This window comes from Homo sapiens, chromosome X, assembly GCF_000001405.40.
Source record: "Homo sapiens chromosome X, GRCh38.p14 Primary Assembly".
Classification (NCBI taxonomy): Eukaryota; Metazoa; Chordata; class Mammalia; order Primates; family Hominidae; genus Homo; species Homo sapiens.
The window spans coordinates 80,280,971-80,300,722 of NC_000023.11; the positions used below are offsets into that span (position 1 = coordinate 80,280,971).

A 19,752-nucleotide genomic window follows, 5' to 3' on the forward strand; every position below is an offset into this window, starting at 1 on the left:
GACATAAAATTTAGTTGGGGGAAGCACTAACTCAATCAGCAATTAGATAGTTAAACATCTTTAAAGATGGGCATTGGTGTTTCTACATCAGTGGTTATATCTGTTTCTACTGCCAGTCACCACATATTGACATAGTCTCTTGATTTTTTAGTCACTACCCCAAGGAACATCTGGAAATATCTGGAGACATGCTTGGCTGTCACAACTGTAGGGAGGGGTGCCATTGGTATCTAGTGGGTAGAGGCCAGAGATGCTGCTAAGCATTCTACAGTGCACATGACAGCCCCCAGGATTATCCATCCCAAAATGTCAATAGTATCGAGGTTGTGAAATACTGCTCTAAACCTTATCCAAAAGTTGCCTACTGATTTCATTTACCACTGAGAGTCAGTAAGGCCATAATGTGGCAGCATTCATTTTATAAAACTTCCCTTGCTGCATTTTCAAGCCAAATCGTCTAATTTAGTCTTTAGCAGAAACAGAAACAAGTCCTTAGTCTCTTATAAAGACTATGTTTAAAAGATGGAGTCTTCTGACACAGAATGCCTTTGTTATAATACTTAACAAAAACCACCTTTCTTGTTCCCCTCCATATGGGCTACTTTAGGATTCTAACAAAACAAAATAGCACACAACTTAACCCACAGCCCTGTTCTCGAACATTACAAACCTGATTTTTAATTTATTAATCTCGATTTTAATTCTTTAGCATTAGTGATCTAAAGAGTTGATAAACTTAACTGTTTATTCTAATCAGGTAGTAGCTTAGATAGGATTTATCAACTCTATTTTCCAGATGTCCAAATCTTCTCTTCCCAGGAGAAAAGAAAAAAATAAGACTAAGCCTCATTTCAAACTAGTTCTCTACCTTTGAAAATACATTATAAAACATTAGCATCAATTTTTATTTTTTACTACTACATTATCTTGAACTAAAATTACACCAGAGAATAATAATACAACATGATTTCTACAGCAAAGATATCATAGATAAGTCATTCTCCCATGACATGAAGGGCCTGAAATAAACAGCCCTTCATGTATTATATATCCTGTTTCCAATAGCAATATCACAAAAGGGTATGAATTATTTACTTAAAAGAAACAACCAAATCATTATGCGTAATATTGCTGTCTTCTGAGCCCCTTTCACATTTTGCACATATTACTCAGTTTGCAGTACTCAAACTAGACTTATGACTCAATGGCCTAATCACAGCAGAATTATTTTGGAAGGTCCTTTTTTTAAAAAAAAAAAACTATATATTTCATACATGCAGCGAACAGTAGGTATTGAGCAAATGTTCAAACACTGCTGCTTCCTTTGATCACCTTTGTCTATTTCTTTTCATACACTAAATGAATCTATTTCCAGAGATTTTTAAGAAAATACTAAGATGACTGAAACACAGTCAAATTTTTATGAGCATGGCAAGGAATTGGATGACTGTTTAAAGTCCCTTGAAACACTAAATTCTAGGGTCACAAACCTAACTCTGGCAATTCGTGGTAAAGAGAAATATTTTCATCTATATTACAGAATTTTAGAACCTCTAGATATTAAATCAAGATTTTCCAAAATCACCTGGATAACTTCTTACCTACCTTCATCTGCCATTTCCTGAAGCAGCATATAGAATAAGAAAATGCGGATTTCTATTAAGCATTTGCTTTTTGCATGGTTTTTGGTTTTCTTTTAAAAGAGGGAAACCGGTCTCTAATTTTTTAAAAGAAAGCATTTAAAAAATATTTTGTACCACCAGAGGGAGCTGCATAATTTCAAAATTTTTTTTTTCTGAATAATACTAAATTCTAAAGCTTAAAACTATGAGGTTATGGGGAAATATTAGCAATGAGGTTCACATATAATTTAAATCTTAGTAATATAGATCTCTCCAAGTGAACCAATTTGTAAAAGCTCCATTCTAACCCACTTTACTTTTATTATGTATAATAGATTTAAATTTTAGATTACAATAATCAGAATTGTTCTTTCTGCCAGTTGATGTAAATCTGATATCAAGGCTAACTTTTTCAAATGTCAGAGATGAATAAAATATAAGTATTGAGATATTTACTAAAGTACAGGCATTCTCAGGCAATAGAGTCTGATTAATAATTTAAAAAACTCTTCTAGTTTTTAACTAAGTTATTGAAAATATTTTTAATATACAGGTGGGAATTCTAAGATATGATCCCAGCTCTACCATTAACAATGAGTATGATTTTAAGCCAATCACTAACCTTGCTGTTGGGCCTTAGTTCTTGTTTTCTTTCATTCACTTTAAAAATATTTCCAAAATATCGAAAAAGTTCATGAAATAGTAGATTCCTATGTGCATTAACATTTTGGTTTTAATTCATATCTAAAATAGCATTATTCGTGTTACAAGAATTTACTTAAATTGTATTATACAATGATTTTATTCCATAACTTCCTTTCCTCATTCAACCTTGTAAGATTATATCGAGATCTAGATATCTAGTTCATTCTCTTTAAATTACTGTATGATGTTGCAACACAGAAATAGACTCAGTTTTATTTATCCATTCTATTTTTGGAATTTAGATTTTTCTTAACTTCTCCCTATTATAGAAAATGGTGCAATGAACATTTTCGCACGTGTGTGTGTGTGTGTGTGTGTGTGTGTAAAGAGAGAGAAAGAGATTGATCTATATATATACCATTGTCTACACATGTAGGGGCTGCTTTGTGTATAAATTTGGAAGTGAAAGTACTAGGTTACATACATTTCATATACTGTGATTTATTCAACAATCTTCAAAAATTTTGAACATCTACTTTATGCCAGATATTTTACGTGCTAGGGAGGCACCAATGATGCCCTCATTAAGCTTAAATTCTAGTGTGTACACGAGAAGGGAGGGCAAATAAATTTTTTAAGAAGTATATGGTATATTAGAAAGCGATATATACAGTAGAGAAAAATAAAGCAGGGAAGGTAGACAACAGGAGGCATGGTAGGTATACTGTTGATGCAATTTTAAGTAGGATGGTCAGGAAAAACCTCACTATAAAAATGACTTAAAGACCTAAAGGAGGTAAGATAGTAAGCAACGAGTATGTCTAGAGAAAGAACATTTAAGGGAGAAGAAACTACAAGTGGAATGGCTTTCAGGCAGAAATATACTTGGTGTGTTTGACAAATAACAACAAATCCAGGTGCCTGAGTAGACTGATGAGCAATAACATGTCAGGACAGATCAAGGTAAGGCAGGCCATGTAGAACTTTATGGACCTTTGGAAACAATCTGGCTTTTACTGAGGAAAATGTTGAACCACTTGAAAGTTTTGAGAGGAATGACATGATCTGACTTGTACTAATAGGATTGCTCTCGTTGCTATGCTGAGAACAGACTGTAGATGTTACCAAACTGCTTTTCCAAAGTGGATGTGCCAATTTGAATTCTAATTACTACTCATTAGCAGGGTGTGAGAATTTGGGCAACTAAGTGTGTTCAGCCAGATCTCTCTCCATTTCTGCTGTAAATTTTGGTTAAGTTTTTATGACTAATGTTATATATATATATATATATATATATATATATATATATATGAATGTCTCCAGCACCTGGCACAATACCTGAAACAGGAGAAGGTGCTCAGTGAATGTCAGGTGAATGAGCTGAGAGGCACTTCAGATATCATCATATCCAACTCCTACATTTTACAGTTATGAAAACTGAGGCCCGGGGTAGTCAGTATCTGAGTCAAGGTCCCAAAGTTAATTAGAAGCAGAGTGATGACTAGAAATCAAAGTAACCAAGATAGTGAAACAGAACCTTATAGCAATCACACCCCCTGCAGGAACATCAAATTGAACAACTATCCATGCCAAACAAAAACAACAAACAAACAATAACAACAACAAAAACACCTTCACAAGAGCTAAAGAAACCAGGCGAATGGTCACAGTACCTGGTTTTGGAATAATCACAAGAAAAGATGCAATAAGGAGGGTGGACAGTCTCGCATTGCCTACATTACCCTTTCTGCAACCGTACGCAGCACAGCGTGGAGAGAGAATCTGTCTGCTTGGGGGAGGGAGAGGGAAGTGTGCATGGGACTTTGCCTTGGAATCAGTACCAGCCTGCCACAGTAAAACACAGCACCAAGCAGAACCCTAAGGCCCCTCATTCTAGGCTCGTGCCCAAGGATGGAGCTCCTACATCCGCCACAGGCCAGATGGGAATCTGTGGTCCCAACATGATGAACCCAAGTTGCAGCCTGCTTCACCAACAGCTGACAAAAGTAGCCTTAGGCTCTGAATAAATTTCAGTGGCAGGAAGGCTATCACAACTGCAGTCCTTGACTGAGCCCTGGTGATGCACTGGTCTGGGGCTTTTGGTTTGACACACTGTGACATCAGCTGCAGAGGCCACAGACTATCCACTTCACCCCTCCCCCAACCTCAGGCAGTATAGCATGGATAAAGACTCTTTCCACTTGGAGAGAAAAGAAGTGAGTGAGGGACTTTGCCCAGGGAACTCTCCCTGAATTTTCCCAAGTCCATCAGGGCTGGAAGCCTCAAAGCCCTCAAGAGAGTGGCAGCAAACCTAAGCTTAGGGCACCCTCTAGTGCTGAAACTGCTGCAGTGACCACAAGCTTAGTGAATTCAAAAGTCAGTCATGTTTATTTGAATTCCTGGAAAGCCTTCTGAAGAAGGATGAGGACATACAAGGCCAGACTGCAAAGACTGGAATAAATACATAATTTTTCAATGCTCAGACATCGATGCACATTCACAAGAATCAAGAACACTAAGGGCAATATGACCTCACCAAACAGACTAAAATAACAGTGAACAACCCTGGAGAGATGGAGATGTGTGTACTCTCAGACAGAAAACCCAAAACAGGTGTTTTGAGTAAGCTTAACAAACTTCACAAAAGCAAAGAGAAGCAATTCAGAAATATATCAGAGAAATTTTACAAAGGGATTAAAATAATCAAACAGTAATCCTGGAGCTGAAAAATACAGTGAATGAGATTTAAGAAATGCATTCTTGTCTTATTAGGAGAATTAATCAAGCAAAACAAAGGACCAGTGAGCTTAACAACAGTCTATTTGAAAATAAAGGAAAAAAAGAAAAAGCAATGAAAAATGTTCATGAAATCTATGGGATGGCATCAAAAGGGCAAATGTATGAGTCATTGGCCTTCAAGAGGGAGTAAAGAAAGAGAAAGGGGTAGAAAGCTTATTCAAAGAAAAAATAACAGAAAACATTCTAAACCTAGAGAATGACATAAATATCCAAATGCAGGTAGGTCAAAGATTACCAAGCAGATTTAATCCAAGTAAGACCACCTCAGACAAAAATAATCAAATTCTCAAAGGTCAAGGACAAAGAGAGGATCCTGTAAGCAGTGAGACAAAAGAAGCAAATAGTATACAAAGGCACTGCGATAGGTTTGCTGGCAGACTTAGCAAAAACCTTATAGGCCATGAGAAAATGGGATGAAATACTTGAAGTACTGAAGAAAAAATGCCTGCCAATTAAGACTACTGTATCCAGCAAGCCTATCCTTCAAACATCAAGGTGAGAGAGACTTTCCCAGAAATAGAAAAAAAAGACAATCTTCAAATTCATACAGAAATGCAAAAGACTCTGGATAGTTAAAGCAATCATGAGCAAAATGTACCAAGCTGGGGGCATTAATACAACTTAACTTTAAAATACACCACAAAGCTATAGTAACCCAAACAACATGTTACTGGCCTAAAAACAAACACACAGACAAATAGAACAGAATAGAATAACCAGAAATAAATCCACATGTTTACACCCAACATGTATTTGACAAAGGCACCAAGAACATACACTGGGGAAAGAACAGTTTCTTCAATAAATGGTGCTGGGAAAACTAGACAACCATATGTAGAAGAATAAAACAGACCTCTGTCTCTTACCATATAGAAAACTCAACTCTAAATGGATTAAAGACATAAATGTAAAAACCTTAAATTATGAAACTAATAAAATAAAACAGGGAAATGCTTCATAAAATTGGATCAGGCAAGGAGTTTTTGAATAAGATAACAAAAGCACAGGTCTATTCGTGTGATGGTTACACTGAAAGCTCAGACATTGCTGCGATGCAGCATATGCAGGTAACAAAGCTCCATCTGTACCCCCAAATATAGTTTTTTAAAAAGCACCTTTGGGAGGCTGAGGTGGGAGAATTGCTTGAGGCTAGGAGTTCAAGACCAGACTGGGCAACATAGTGAGACCCCCATCTCTACAAAAAAAAAAAATGAAATTGGCTGGGTGTAGTGGCACATTTGTGTAGTCCGAGCTACTTAGGAGGCCAAAGCAGGAGGACTGCTTGAGCCCAGGAGTTCAAAGTTACAGTGAGCTATAATCACACCATGCACTCCAGCCTAGGTGACAGAGCAAGACCCTGTCTCAAAAACCAAACCAAAAAGCACAGGCAGCAAAAGTAAAAATAGATAAATTACATCAAATTAAAAAGCTTCTGCACAGGAAAAAACACATAAATACAGTGGAGAAAGTACCTACAGAATGGGAGAAAGTAGTTGCAAAAGACCTGAATAGACATTTTTCGAAAGACATACAAATGGCCAACAAGTATGTGAAAAAATGCTCAACATCGGTAATCATCAGGGAAATGTGAGTCAAAACCACAGGGAAATATCACCTCACTCCAGTGAAAATGGCTCTTATCAAAAAGACAAAAAATAACAATTGCTTGTGAGGATATGGAGAAAGGAGAATTCTTAGGCACTGTTTGTAAGGATATTAATTCAGTACAGATATAATGGAAAAGAATATGTAGTTTCCTCAAAAAATTAAAAAATAGAACTTCCATGTGATCCAGCAATCCCCTTCCTGGGTATATATTCAAATAAAATGAAATTAGTATGTCAAAGAGATGTCTGCAATCCCATGTTTATTACAATACTATTCACAATAGCCAAAATATGGAATCAACTTGTTTCATCTAAAGATGAAGAAAATGTAGTATATCTACATAATAGAATACACTACTCAGCCATAACACAAAATAAAATCCTGTCATTTGCTCAACATGGATAAACCTGCAGGGTATAAGGTTAAGTGAAAGAAACCTGGCACAGAAAGACAAACATTGCATGATCTTACTCATCTGTGGAATTCAAAAAAAGTTGATTTCATGGAAGTAGAGAGTAGAATAGTGGTTACCAGGGGCTGGGGATGGAAAAGAGCTGGTAAAAGGAGGGACTAGCAGAAATTTGTCAATGGGTACAGAGTTAGTTTGGCAGAAAGGATAAGTTCTGGTGTTATACAGTAAGGTAGCTATAACTAATAACACCATAGTGTATATTTTAAGATAGCTAGAAGAGAAGATTTTGAATGTTATCACCACAAAGTGATAAACATATAAAATTATGGATATGACAATGCTGATTTAATCACTATAGAATGTATGCATGCACTGACACTGTACTACACACATTTGTATAATTATGTGTCAATTACAAATTAAAAAAAAAAAAAAGCAAAAAAAAAATAAATCCAAGTGTCCTGACTTCAAGTTCTTTCAAATGCAGTTGGGTTTTCTAAACTTCACTGATCATAAAATCACCTCAGGATTCCTAAGGTAACCGAATAAAAATCAGAAACTCTAAGACAGTGCTTCTCAAACTCTGTGCATACAAATCATGTCAGAATCTGGTTAAAATGAAGATTCTGATTCAATATATCTGGAGGTGGGGTTCTGAAATTCTATATTCCTAATGAGCTTCCAGGTTGTGAGAGTGCTCCTGAATCTTGTCCTACACACTTTGGGGAACAAAGCTCTAGGGGAGGGTATAAAAGAATCGTTAAATATATCCTCAATTTAAGATATACACATATATTCTTTCTTCTTAACTCTAAACCCTGAGTATAAGCCTGTTCTTTCATTATTTACCTTTTTGTGAAAAGAGCTGTTTGTGGTAAAATGTTGATGGACAGCTGTCGATTTCTTCTTAATCGACTTGGTAAATCATATTTTTTTCCATATTAGCATCCAAAGTAGTAATAACAAGTTCTCTTTTCATTTGACTAACCACATGTTAGGTGCTGGGATCAGAGAGAAGAGTGATAATGAAATAAATTTTCTATCTGAATATTTAAATTTTACAAAACTTTGTTTCTGACATGTGTCACACACAAACTAATTTCAAATTTTAATTTTCTTCATAGGAGGTCTCTGTCCAGGTTCCAGGTTTAGAAAACATCCTAGTTTTCTGAAAATTAATTCATCTTGTATTTTCTATTTGGTTCACCTCTGACTCATGCATACACAAAACACCTAAAGAGTAGGGAGGCAACATAAGAATATTTGCAATGAGATGAACTAGCTGAGGCATGGGATAATATCTAACACCAACTGGCGTCAGTGAGCCTCTAGTACAATGGCCTTTATCAATAAGTACCACTGGCAGTCAGACAGAACCAGGATCTAGACTCTAGACATACAACTCAGTACAATTCCCAGAACTTCAAAACAAGCTAGGGAAAACGCCTCCTCAGGAATCTGGGGGATGAGCAGTAACTTCCTACCATCATTGTGAAGACACACTATGTTTATTTAGCATTCTAGAGATCATTTAGGCTCACAATACCATTATAATTTGAAGTGAGATAATTTTAAAAAGTTATTCTAAGTAGAGAAGCTATACTTACTTGTGGTGTTATTAGGGTTGTAGAGCTACTCATTTTATCTTCCATTTGTTGTGTTTGAATATCCAGTGTTTCAAACTGGTGTTTGAATTTGTCCATCAAGGCAGAAGTCTGTAAAAATAAATGTGGTTATCAGAAAAACTTACACTGAAAAGATGCTGTCTGAACATAATTCTTTTTTTTCAAGGTTCTACTCCTCAATGAAGCACCCACAGACTTAACTATGCCTCACATGGACTTGTTACCTATTTGGAGGATAAAAACAAACAGTATCCTATGATACAAACAGTCTCAAAGTTTTTGTAGTCTCCTAAATATATTACTTACAAATCAACTTATGAAACTTGTCTACCTTTTCTTTAACAGAAATATACAATGTTATGTATTTATAGTCTAGGCATTGGCTATCTTATTTCTTTGACTTTTCACTTCATTAAAAGACAAATAATTCAACCATTGTGGAAGACAGAGTGGTGACTCCTCAAAGACCTAGAGAAGAGAGACAGAAATAGCATTTGACCCAGCAATCTCATTACTGGGTATATACCCAAAGTAATATAAATCATTCTACTACAAAGACACATGCACATGTATGTTTATTGCAGTACTATTCACAATAGCAAAGACATGGAATCAACTTAAATGCTCATCAATGATAGACTGGATAAAGAAAATGTGGTATATATATATACCATAGAATACTACGTAGCCATTAAAAAGAATGAGAATGAGACCATGTTCTTGACAGGGACATAGATGGAGCTGGAAGCCATTAAACTTAGCAAACTAATGCAGAAACAGAAAACCAAATACCGTATGTTCCCATTTATAAATGGAAGCAAAATGATGAGAACACAAGGACACATAGAGGGGAACAATGTGCACTGGGACCTACTGGAGGGTGAAGGGTGGGAGGAGGGAGAGGATCAGGAAAAATAACTAATGGATACTAGGCTTAATACCTGGGTGATGTAATAATATGTAAAACAAACCCCCATGACACATATTTACCTATGTAACAAACCTATACATCCTGTACATGTACCCCTGAACTTAAAATACAAGTTTTTTAAAAAGACAATTAAATCTTAGTTCAAAATCCACTGCCAAAATCACTTTCCTCACCAAGTACTTTGAATATGTCGCACCTTTACCAGCACCCTGTAGCACCCTGCAACAAATTTTGAGTTCTGATATTTATAGATCTCAAGTCTTACCCTGCCCATTGTTACTGCATTTTGACCTCTGACTGCCACAGCACCAACTCTAGCACTCATTCTTAAGAAATCAATTGCTTGATTTTTCTGGTGGATTGCATTTTCAGCATGTATTCTTGCAGCTTCCTTATTGCCTTTCTGAATAGCCTGTTTTAAACAGAGCAAAAGCAAATAAAGGCAAAAACAAAGATCAAAAGTAAATATTGGCAAAGACAGAGAGCAAAAGTACACATATTTTAAAAAGAGGAAAATAACCCCAAATTAACCTATAATCTGTAAGAGCTTATAATTAGCTTTTCAGGAAATAATTATGCACTTAATTATTAGGAGAATATATAGTCCCATAATTTTTAATCTTATGATTAGAAAATATATATTCATTGATAGTTTAAGAAATTAGAACATAGGCTGGGCACGGTGGCTCACGCCTGTAATCCCAGCACTTAGGGAGGCCAAGGCAGGCAGATCATGAGGTCAGGAGTTCGAGACCAGCCTGACCAACATGGTGAAACCCCGTCTCTACTAAAAATACAAAAATTAGCCGGGTGTGGTGGCGTGCACCTGTAATCCCAGCTACTCAAAAGGCTGAGACAGGAGAATCGCTTGAACCCGGGAGGTGGAGGTTGCAGTGAACTGAGATCACGCCACTGCACTCCAGCCTGGGCGACAGAGACTCCATCGAAAAGAAGGGACGGGGAGGGGAGGGGAAGGGAGGGGAGAACATAAAACTGTAAAAAATTGCCCATAATAACATCACTGAGCCATTACCACTGTTAATATTTTAGCATAGGGCATTCCAAGTACATAAATATATTTATTACTATATAAATATATTACAAAAGTACATACATAGAGCATACTGTTTTGGAACTTGTTTTTTCATGTAATATATTTTTTAAAAAATGTTTTAAAGTCAAAAATATATAACTACGTCATTATTTCTAAAGGCTGAACTGTAAGGATGTACCATTAACCAGGGTTTTCATGTGCTACAAACACTACTGATGGTACAGCAAATGATACTACATGTTATATAGATTTAAGTTTCTTTTCTATGCATTTATTTAAATGTTATATGAAAATAATGTAACTAACATAAATCCATGTTTTTTTCTGGTATAAAAGCTTAGGACAGAGCTAAAGTTAAGTCAATTTTTAAAAAAAGTAAATAAATAGCTCACATGGTCCTCCAATATGGCAAAACCAAGAAGGTAATTAGATTGTTTGTAACTCAAGGGATAAATGCTTGAGAGGATGGATACCCCATTATCCTTGATGTGCTTATTTCACATTGCATGCCTGTATCAAAACATCTCATGTGCCTCATAGATACATACACCTACTATGTACTCACAAAAATAAAAATAAACATTTAAAAGTGACTGAAATTTGACATCGAATATTGGATCTCTGATTATTATATTTTTTTCAATTCTTCAATAATATAAAGAGCAATGTGATAACCACACTAGTACATGCAACCCTACACACTTTCCAAGAATCTTCATAAGATAAGTTCCCAGATTCAGAATTACTGGATGCAGAGGTATGCACAATTTTAATTGTCCCACACCTAATTCTGGTAGGGACTTACATCTCTTCCAGCAGTATAAGAGAGTTTCTGCTTCTCTTGCATAGTCATCAATATGAGGTATTATGAGATATATCTGAGAGGTGAAAAGTGGTAGACAGTTGTATTTCTTTGCTTAAAAGTGAAGTTAAAATCTTTATGCTTACCCATTTGTACTTCTTCTTTCTTGAGCCATTTGTGTCTTTGTCCATCTTTCTTGGGCTTTTTCTTATTGATTTGCAAGAACATTTCATACGAAAATTACTTTTTGTTATATATGGCCTTTTCTAGATTGTTGGATGAACTGCTATTTTGTGTATGTCTGATATAAAAATGTCTAATTCTTTTATAGTCAGGTATTTCCTTTATGGTTTTTTACTATGCTCAAAACATCCATCTGTATCTCAAGGTAATTTTGGCATTTTAATCTTTTAATTACTAAATTTAGCATTTATTTTGGTGAAAAGTATAATGTAGTGATCTATAGTTTTCTAATGCCATTTACTGAAGTATTCCCTCTTTTCCTCCTTAAATATACTTAAAATATTTTTGTCTGGTGCCTAATTTTTGTTATTTTAGCTAGTTTTAAAATTCACATTATAAAACAAATGCATGCACACGGGTACAGTATTCAAGTGGAAAAGAGCATATAGTTAATAATCAGGTGTTCCTCCTACCCCAGTTGCCCTGTCTCATATCCTAGAGGTAACTGTCTTAATATACATACATTCATTTATTCAAATATTTACTGAGCATCTAGCAAATGCCGGACAGTATTCTAGGCATGTGGAATTCAGTAGTGAACCCAAAACACAAAAACCCCTGTTGTTATGGAGCTTATATTCTAGTTAAAGAATCTGACTATAAACCAGATAATTAAAATAGTATGTTAACTAGTGGCAGGTATCAGGAAGTAAAAATAGAGCAGGGAATGAGGATAGGAAGAGTTAGGATTGCGGTTGTTGAAATTTTACAGAAGATAGCCCAGAAAGACTTACTGTGAAGGTGACATCTAAGTAAATACCTGAAAGAAAAATGGTTTTCTCTCTGCTGAAGGAAGATAAGAACCTAGTCATATGGATATTCAGCACAGCAGGAAGAAAAAGAGCAAAAAAGGGGAGCTTATGCAAGCATGTGTCATTTACACAGTAGTACAATGTGTCTGAAGCAGAGTGAATGAAGAGTAGAAGAGCAGATGGAATCAGATAGATAATAGTCAGATCATATATGGCTTTATAGGCCATTTTAAGACTCTGGCTTTACTTGGAGTAGGATGAGAACAAGAACAGACAAGTGACATGATCTGGCTTCTGTTTTTAAAATGCTCTCTCTGGCCGCTGTGTTAAGATAATACTTAGGGGACAAGAGTCAGGAACAGGGAGACAAATTAGAAGTTCACTGTACTAACTGAGGTAAGATATAATGATAGCTTGGGTCACGGTAGGTGCATTAGACATTGGATAAGAAATGATTAGATTTTGAATACATTTTAAAGGTAGAAATGGTAAGATTTGCTGATAGATCAGATGTAATATATGAAAAAACAGAGGGCTAAAACATGACTGTACTCTAATAATGTTTGGTTTTGATTTTGTCTAACAGAATTACCTTTAACTGATTTTAGAAAAACCATATTGGAAAGGATGCCACATAAGGGCTTCAGTTTTAAGTTTGGTTTACTCCTTGGACATCCAAGTGGAAACATGAAATAAGCAGGTGGATAGAGGAGTCTGGAGTTCAAGGGAAAAGGCTAGGCCAGAGATGTACATTGGGAAGTCACATTGTGACAAAAGCTAGTGGTAGGTCAACTGACCACTAGACCAAAGTAAAAGCTTCAATTTTAGTGAATGGTGGTGGTATAACCATAAATGGATTGAGTACAGCAGAGAATGAAAGAAGAGTAATTGGAAAGAATTAATAAATATACATAACTCTTTCATACAGTTTTGTTAGAAATACAAAGAGATCCAGTTTCAGCTTTCTACAAATGGCTAGCCAGTTTTCCCAGCACCATTTATTAAATAGGGAATCCTTTCCCCATTGCTTGTTTTTGTCAGGTTTGTCAAAGATCAGATGGTTGTAGATATGCGGCATTATTTCTGAGGGCTCTGTTCTGTTCCATTGGTCTGTAACTCTGTTTTGGTACCAGTACCATGCTGTTTTGGTTACTGTAGCCTTGTAGTATAGTTTGAAGTCAAGCAGCGTGATGCCTCCAGCTTTGTTCTTTTGGCTTGGGATTGACTTGGCGATGCGGGCTCTTTTTTGGTTCCAGATGAACTTTAAAGTAGTTTTTTCCAATTCTGTGAAGAAAGTCATTGGTAGCTTGATGTGGATGGAATTGAATCTATAAATTACCTTGGGCAGTATGGCCATTTTCACGATATTGATTATTCCTACCCATGAGCATGGAATGTTCTTCCATTTGTTTGTATCCTCTTTTATTTCATTGAGCAGTGGTTTGAAGTTCTCCTTGAAGAGGTCCTTCACATCCCTTGTAAGTTGGATTCCTAGGTATTTTATTCTCTTTGAAGCAATTGTAAATGGGAGTTCACTCATGATTCGGCTCTCTGTTTGTCTGTTATTGGTGTATAAGAATGCTACACCTTATACAAAAATTAATTCAAGATGGATTAAAGACTTCAGTGTCAGACCTAAAACCATAAAAACCCTAGAAGAAAACCTAGACAATACCATTCAGGACATAGGCATGGGCAAGGACTTCATGTCTAAAACACCAAAAGCAATGGCAACAAAAGCCAAAATTGACAAATGGGATCTAATTAAACTAAAGAGCTTCTGCACAGCAAAAGAACCACCATCAGAGTGAACAGGCAACCTACAAAATGGGAGAAAATTTTTGCAACCTACACATCTGACAAAGGGCTAATATCCAGAATCTACAATGAACTCAAACAAATTTACAAGAAAAAAACAAACAACCCCATCAACAAGTGAGCGAAGGATATGAACAGACACTTCTCAGAAGAAGACATTAATGCAGCCAAAAAACACATGAAAAAACGCTCATCATCACTGGCCATCAGAGAAATGCAAATCAAAACCACAATGAGATACCATCTCACACCAGTTAGAATGGCGATCATTAAAATGTCAGGAAACAACAGGTGCTGGAGAGGATGTGGAGAAATAGGAACACTTTTACACTGTTGGTGGGACTGTAAACTAGTTCAACCATTGTGGAAGTCAGTGTGGCCATTCCTCAGGGATCTAGAACTAGAAATACCATTTGACCCAGCCATCCCATTACTGGATGTATACCCAAAGGATTATCAATCATGCTGCTATAAAGACACATGCACACATATGTTTATTGCGGCACTATTCACAATAGCAAAGACTTGGAACCAACACAAATGTCCAACAATGATAGAGTGGATTAAGAAAATGTGGCACATATACACCATGGAATACTATGCAGCCATAAAAAATGATGAGTCCATGTCCTTTGTAGGGACATGGATGAAGCTGGAAACCATCATTCTTAGCAAACTATCACAAGGACAAAAAACCAAACACCGCATGCTCTCACTCATAGGTGGGAATTGAACAATGAGAACACGTGGACACAGGAAGGGGAACATCACACACCGGGGCCTGTTGTGGGGTGGGGGGAGGGGGAGGAATAGCATTAGGAGATATACCTAATGCTAAATGACGAGTTAATGGGTGCAGTACACCAACATGGCACATGTATACATATGTAACAAACCTGCACGTTGTGCACATGTACCCTAAAACTTAAAGTATAATAATAATTAAAAAAATAAATAAATAAATAAAAAGAAATACAAAGAGAAGGAAGAATAGCAAGAGATTAAAATGGAGTCAGGAGACAGTTTTCTTTCTTTTTTTTTTTTTTTTTTTTTGAGATGAAGTTAAGTTTCACTCTTGTTGCCAAGGCTGGAGTGCAATAGCACAATCTTGGCTCACTGCAACCTCCAGCTCCCGGGTTCAAGCGATTCTCCTGCCTCAGCCTCCTGAATAGCTGGGATTACAGGCATGTGCCACCACACCCGACTAATTTTGTATTTTTAGTAGAGACGAGGTTTCTCCATGTTGGTCAGGCTGGTCTCGAACTCCCAATCTCAGGTGACCCGCCCGCCTCGGCCTCCCAAAGTGCTGGGATTACAGGCATGAGCCACCATGCCAGCTGTCAGGAGACAGCTTTTAAAGATTTAAGGATGTCCCTGTGTACACATACCCTAGCACTTAAAGTATAAAAAAAAAAAAAGATTTAAGGATGTTTGTATGCTGATAGGACTGATTCAGGAGAAAGAGTAAAACTGGTGATGCAGGAGAGAGAACTTCTAGGGCAGTAACATCTGGTAGGAAAGAGGGATGGAACCTAGTACACAAAGGGAGGAGTTGGTCGTTGCTAGGAGTATGGACAGTTCATGTATTGTGGGAAGGGAAGGGAGAGTTTCTGGGCAGAGATGCAGGTAAGTATAGTAGTCAGAGATTTCTCAATGAAATAGAAAGCATGGTCATCAGCTGAAAGTGAGAGTGGGAGAGGAGTCTTTTGAGATTTTAAAAAGAGAAGAAAAAATATAAAATTGCCATTTAAGAGAGTGGAAGAATAAATGGATTATGGAAATATCACCAAGTCACATGGATTCTCTTCTCTTTTAAATTCAACAACTTCACAAGATGTAAATAACAATCAAAACATACTCTCTGACCCAGCAATTTTACTTCCAGGAACTCATACTAAGGACACAATCAGATTAACATAAAGATTTATAACTCCATCTCTACAAAAAAATACGAAAAAAACTTAGTTGGGCATGGTGGTTTGTGCCTGTGGTCCTGCCTATGAGGGAGGCTGGGCTGGGAGGATCACTTCAGCCTAGGAAGTTGAGGATAGAGTGAGCTGTGATCACACCACTGCACTACAGCCTGGGCTAGAGACCCTGTCTCCAAAAAAAAAAAAAAAAAAAAAAAGATGCTTATACTGAAAACTACAAAACACTAAGAAAAATCTTAACACTACATAGAAGGGAGATTGAAGAAACTGCAATTATGCTTAACAATATGAATGAATCCCACATATATGCTGAGCAAAAGGAAGCCAGACACAAAAGGGTTTATGCCACATAAATCCACTTATGTAAAAGTTCAAAAGACAAAACTAATCTGTGGTGTTTGAAAGTCAGGAGGGAGGTTACTCTCGATGGAGTAGTGCCTGTTAAGGGGGCGGAGGTTACTCTCGATGGAGTAGTGCCTGTTAAGGGGGCATAAGGAGATTTATATTCTGATAAGTTCTGTTTTCTCATCTAAATGCTTATATCATTTGTGAAAATTCATCAAGAAGCTGTACTTGTATAATTTCTGCATGTTACTTCAATTAAATTTCTACTTTTACAAAATGCAAAAAAAAAATAATGTTCACTTATGGTGGTATTTAAAGTAACAAAAAATAGGTTAGCTATCACTTATATGTCCAATAATAAAAGGAAAATTAAGTAACATTAATATGATAGAATACTGTTTTATTAATCTAAAAAATCAAGTTCCAAAAAATAGCTAATCACAATATAAATAATAGCAAAGGGGGTAGGCAGGTCCCTTCATCCATTCGTATGTCTACTGACACTCATTGAATGCCTATTATGTATCAGGCGCTGGACATACAAAACTGAGTAGGACAAGGTCCCTACTGGTAAAAAGAGACCAAAAAAAAAATGAAAAAAAACAAGGCAACTATATTAGTAGCAAGTCCTTTATTGAAAATAAAACAGGACAACAGGGTAGGGTAATAGAGTAGATGGGCCACTTTAGGCTGGGTAGTTAGGAAAGGTAACTTGAGGGAAATAACATTTAGGTTGAAAACTGAATGGCCAGAAGGAAACAGCCCTGCAAAAATCTGAAGGGAAAAAAAAATATGTCCAGGCAGAGGAAATGCCTAATGCAAAGTCCTCAAGACAAGGTTAAGGGAGATGTGTTCCAGGAAAAATGTGAAGTCCACTGTGTGCTGGAGTAGTGTGACTGAAGGGAAGAGTAGTAAGATATGAGGTTGGAGTTGCATGCAGGGCCATATCATTTAGAGCTTTGATGGTAAGGTTTTTGGATTTTGTTCTAGGTGCATTGGGAAGACACTGAAGGGCTCTAAGCAACACAATGACATGATAATGATCTACTGTTAAATGACCACTCTGGCTATTGAGGAAATAATTGGCCACAGGGGGCAATGGTAGATGCAGAGAGACCAGCTGAGAGCTCAGGGCAGTAGCGCAGACAAGAAATGATGTGATTTGGCTTAGGACGTTAGCAATGGAGGTGGTGAGACCTAGTCAGGTTCAGGATATATTCTGAAGGTAGACTTGCTATGAACTAGATGTGGGGTAAAAGAGTAAGTAATGATGACTCCCTGGCTTCTGGCTTAAACAAATGGGTGTAGAGTTGCTATCGACTAAAATGGAAAATACTGCAGCAGAACAGTAATGATTATGTTTTAGCATAAACAAGAGTGGAAGTCAAGCATTCTAGTTTTTGAAAATATTAGGTTTGTGATGCCTGTTAGATACCCAAGGAGAGATGACAAAATGATTGCCAGATATGAGAGTCTGTAGTACAAGGAAGAAATAAGGGCGATGAGAGTATCTATCTTCCCATTCTTACCTCTCATTCATACCTCAACTTGCTGTAACCTGGATTTTGCCTCCTTCACTCCACTGAAATTGCTCTTCCTAAGGTCATCACTGTCATTCTACTGGCTGTATTTTAACCTTCTTACTTGCTAGATTTTGTGCTGCCAATCATTCATTCTCTCCTTGAATCTCCCTTCTCCCCAGGCTTCCAATATACCGCTTTTACTCCTGGTTCTCCTTCCTACTTCTCTGGTTGTTCCTTTTTGAAACTTTTTGGTTCCCCTTTTTCCACCTTCCATCCCCAATCCCATTAAATATTGATGTTTATCATATAGGCTTTTTCAACCTGGTGTGGTCCTCACTCCTTACCCTCATCTCCCTGATCGATCCCATCCATGTGGATTTATTTCTGGGCTCTTCATTCTGTTCCCTTGATCTATGTGTCTGCTTTTAAAGGTATCACTTTTTTTCATGATCATAAAATTTATAACTCTCAAATTAGTTAAAAAAGTTGAACAACAAAAAAAGAAGACACAAAGGTTATGAACAAGTAGGTCACAAATAAAAATGTCCAACCATAAAAAGACGCTCAAACTTATTCACAAGAAATACAAACTGAAACCATGAAATACCTTATTTCACCAATCATATTGGCATAAGACTAGTTTTTTGATATCTAATGTTGGCAAGAGAGTAGAGAAACTGGCATTGTTGAATAGATGGACAACTGTTCACCTTGCTTTTCTCATTAGCAGTATTCCGTTTCAATATACATGCTTATCTCAGTCTTTTCAATGTCTATGTATTACTCTATTATATGACAGTTTCATAATATAATGAGCAAGAGGGTTCTATCTATTTTTATTTATTTTCTGTTTATGGCAAATGATGCTATAAAGATGAAACTTGGCATGTCCATAAACATATGCAAATGTGTCTTCAGGAAAAAGTCCTAGAAATAGAATTACTATATCAAAAAGTATATGAATTTACGATTTGGAGAGATATTGCCAAACTGCCTTCCAAAATTATAATAATTTTCATTCTCATCAAAGTATTATGTGCCTGTTACCCCATGTCTTGATAACAAAGCATATTAGCAACCTTTCTGATATTTATAAGCCTGAAAAATACTATTTTAATTATATTTTACTTAATTTTTATAATTTTTATTTTTAGTGGGTACATGGTAGGTGTATATATTTATGGGGTACATGAGAGGCTTTGATGAAGGCATGCAATATGAAATAAGTACATAATGAAGAAAGGGTTATCCATCCCCTCAAGCATTTATCTGCTGAGTTGCAAATAATCCAATTACACTCTTTATTTTAAAACATATGGTTATTACTAACTACAGCCACCCTATTGTGCTACCAAGTAGTAGGTTGTATTCATGATTTCTAACTATTTTTGTACCTATTAAGCATTCCCACATCTGCCCCAGCCCCACATTACCATTCCCAGCCTCTGGAAACCATCCTACTACAATGTCCATGAATTCAATTGTTTTTATTTTTAGATCTCACAAATAAGTGAGAACATGTGATTTTTGTCTTTCTGAGCCTGGCTTATTTCACTTAACACAATGATCTCCAGTTCCATCCATGTTGTTGCAAATGACTGGATCTCATTCTTTTTATGGCTGAATAGTAGTTCTCCATTGT

General features: G+C 36.4%; 1 pseudogene across 1 annotated transcript in view; it reads right to left on the reverse strand.

Moving 5' to 3' along the window:
* CHMP1B2P (charged multivesicular body protein 1B2, pseudogene) overlaps positions 1-19,752 on the reverse strand; it is a 106,830-nt pseudogene that overhangs the window by 52,482 nt on the left and 34,596 nt on the right. Inside the window, exons 3-5 of the transcript NR_110646.1 lie at positions 9,908-10,054; positions 8,694-8,801; positions 7,936-8,087 (exon numbers count right to left, since the gene is read on the reverse strand). The product of NR_110646.1 is annotated as a charged multivesicular body protein 1B2, pseudogene (transcript). The remainder of the gene's footprint in view (positions 1-7,935; positions 8,088-8,693; positions 8,802-9,907; positions 10,055-19,752) is intronic.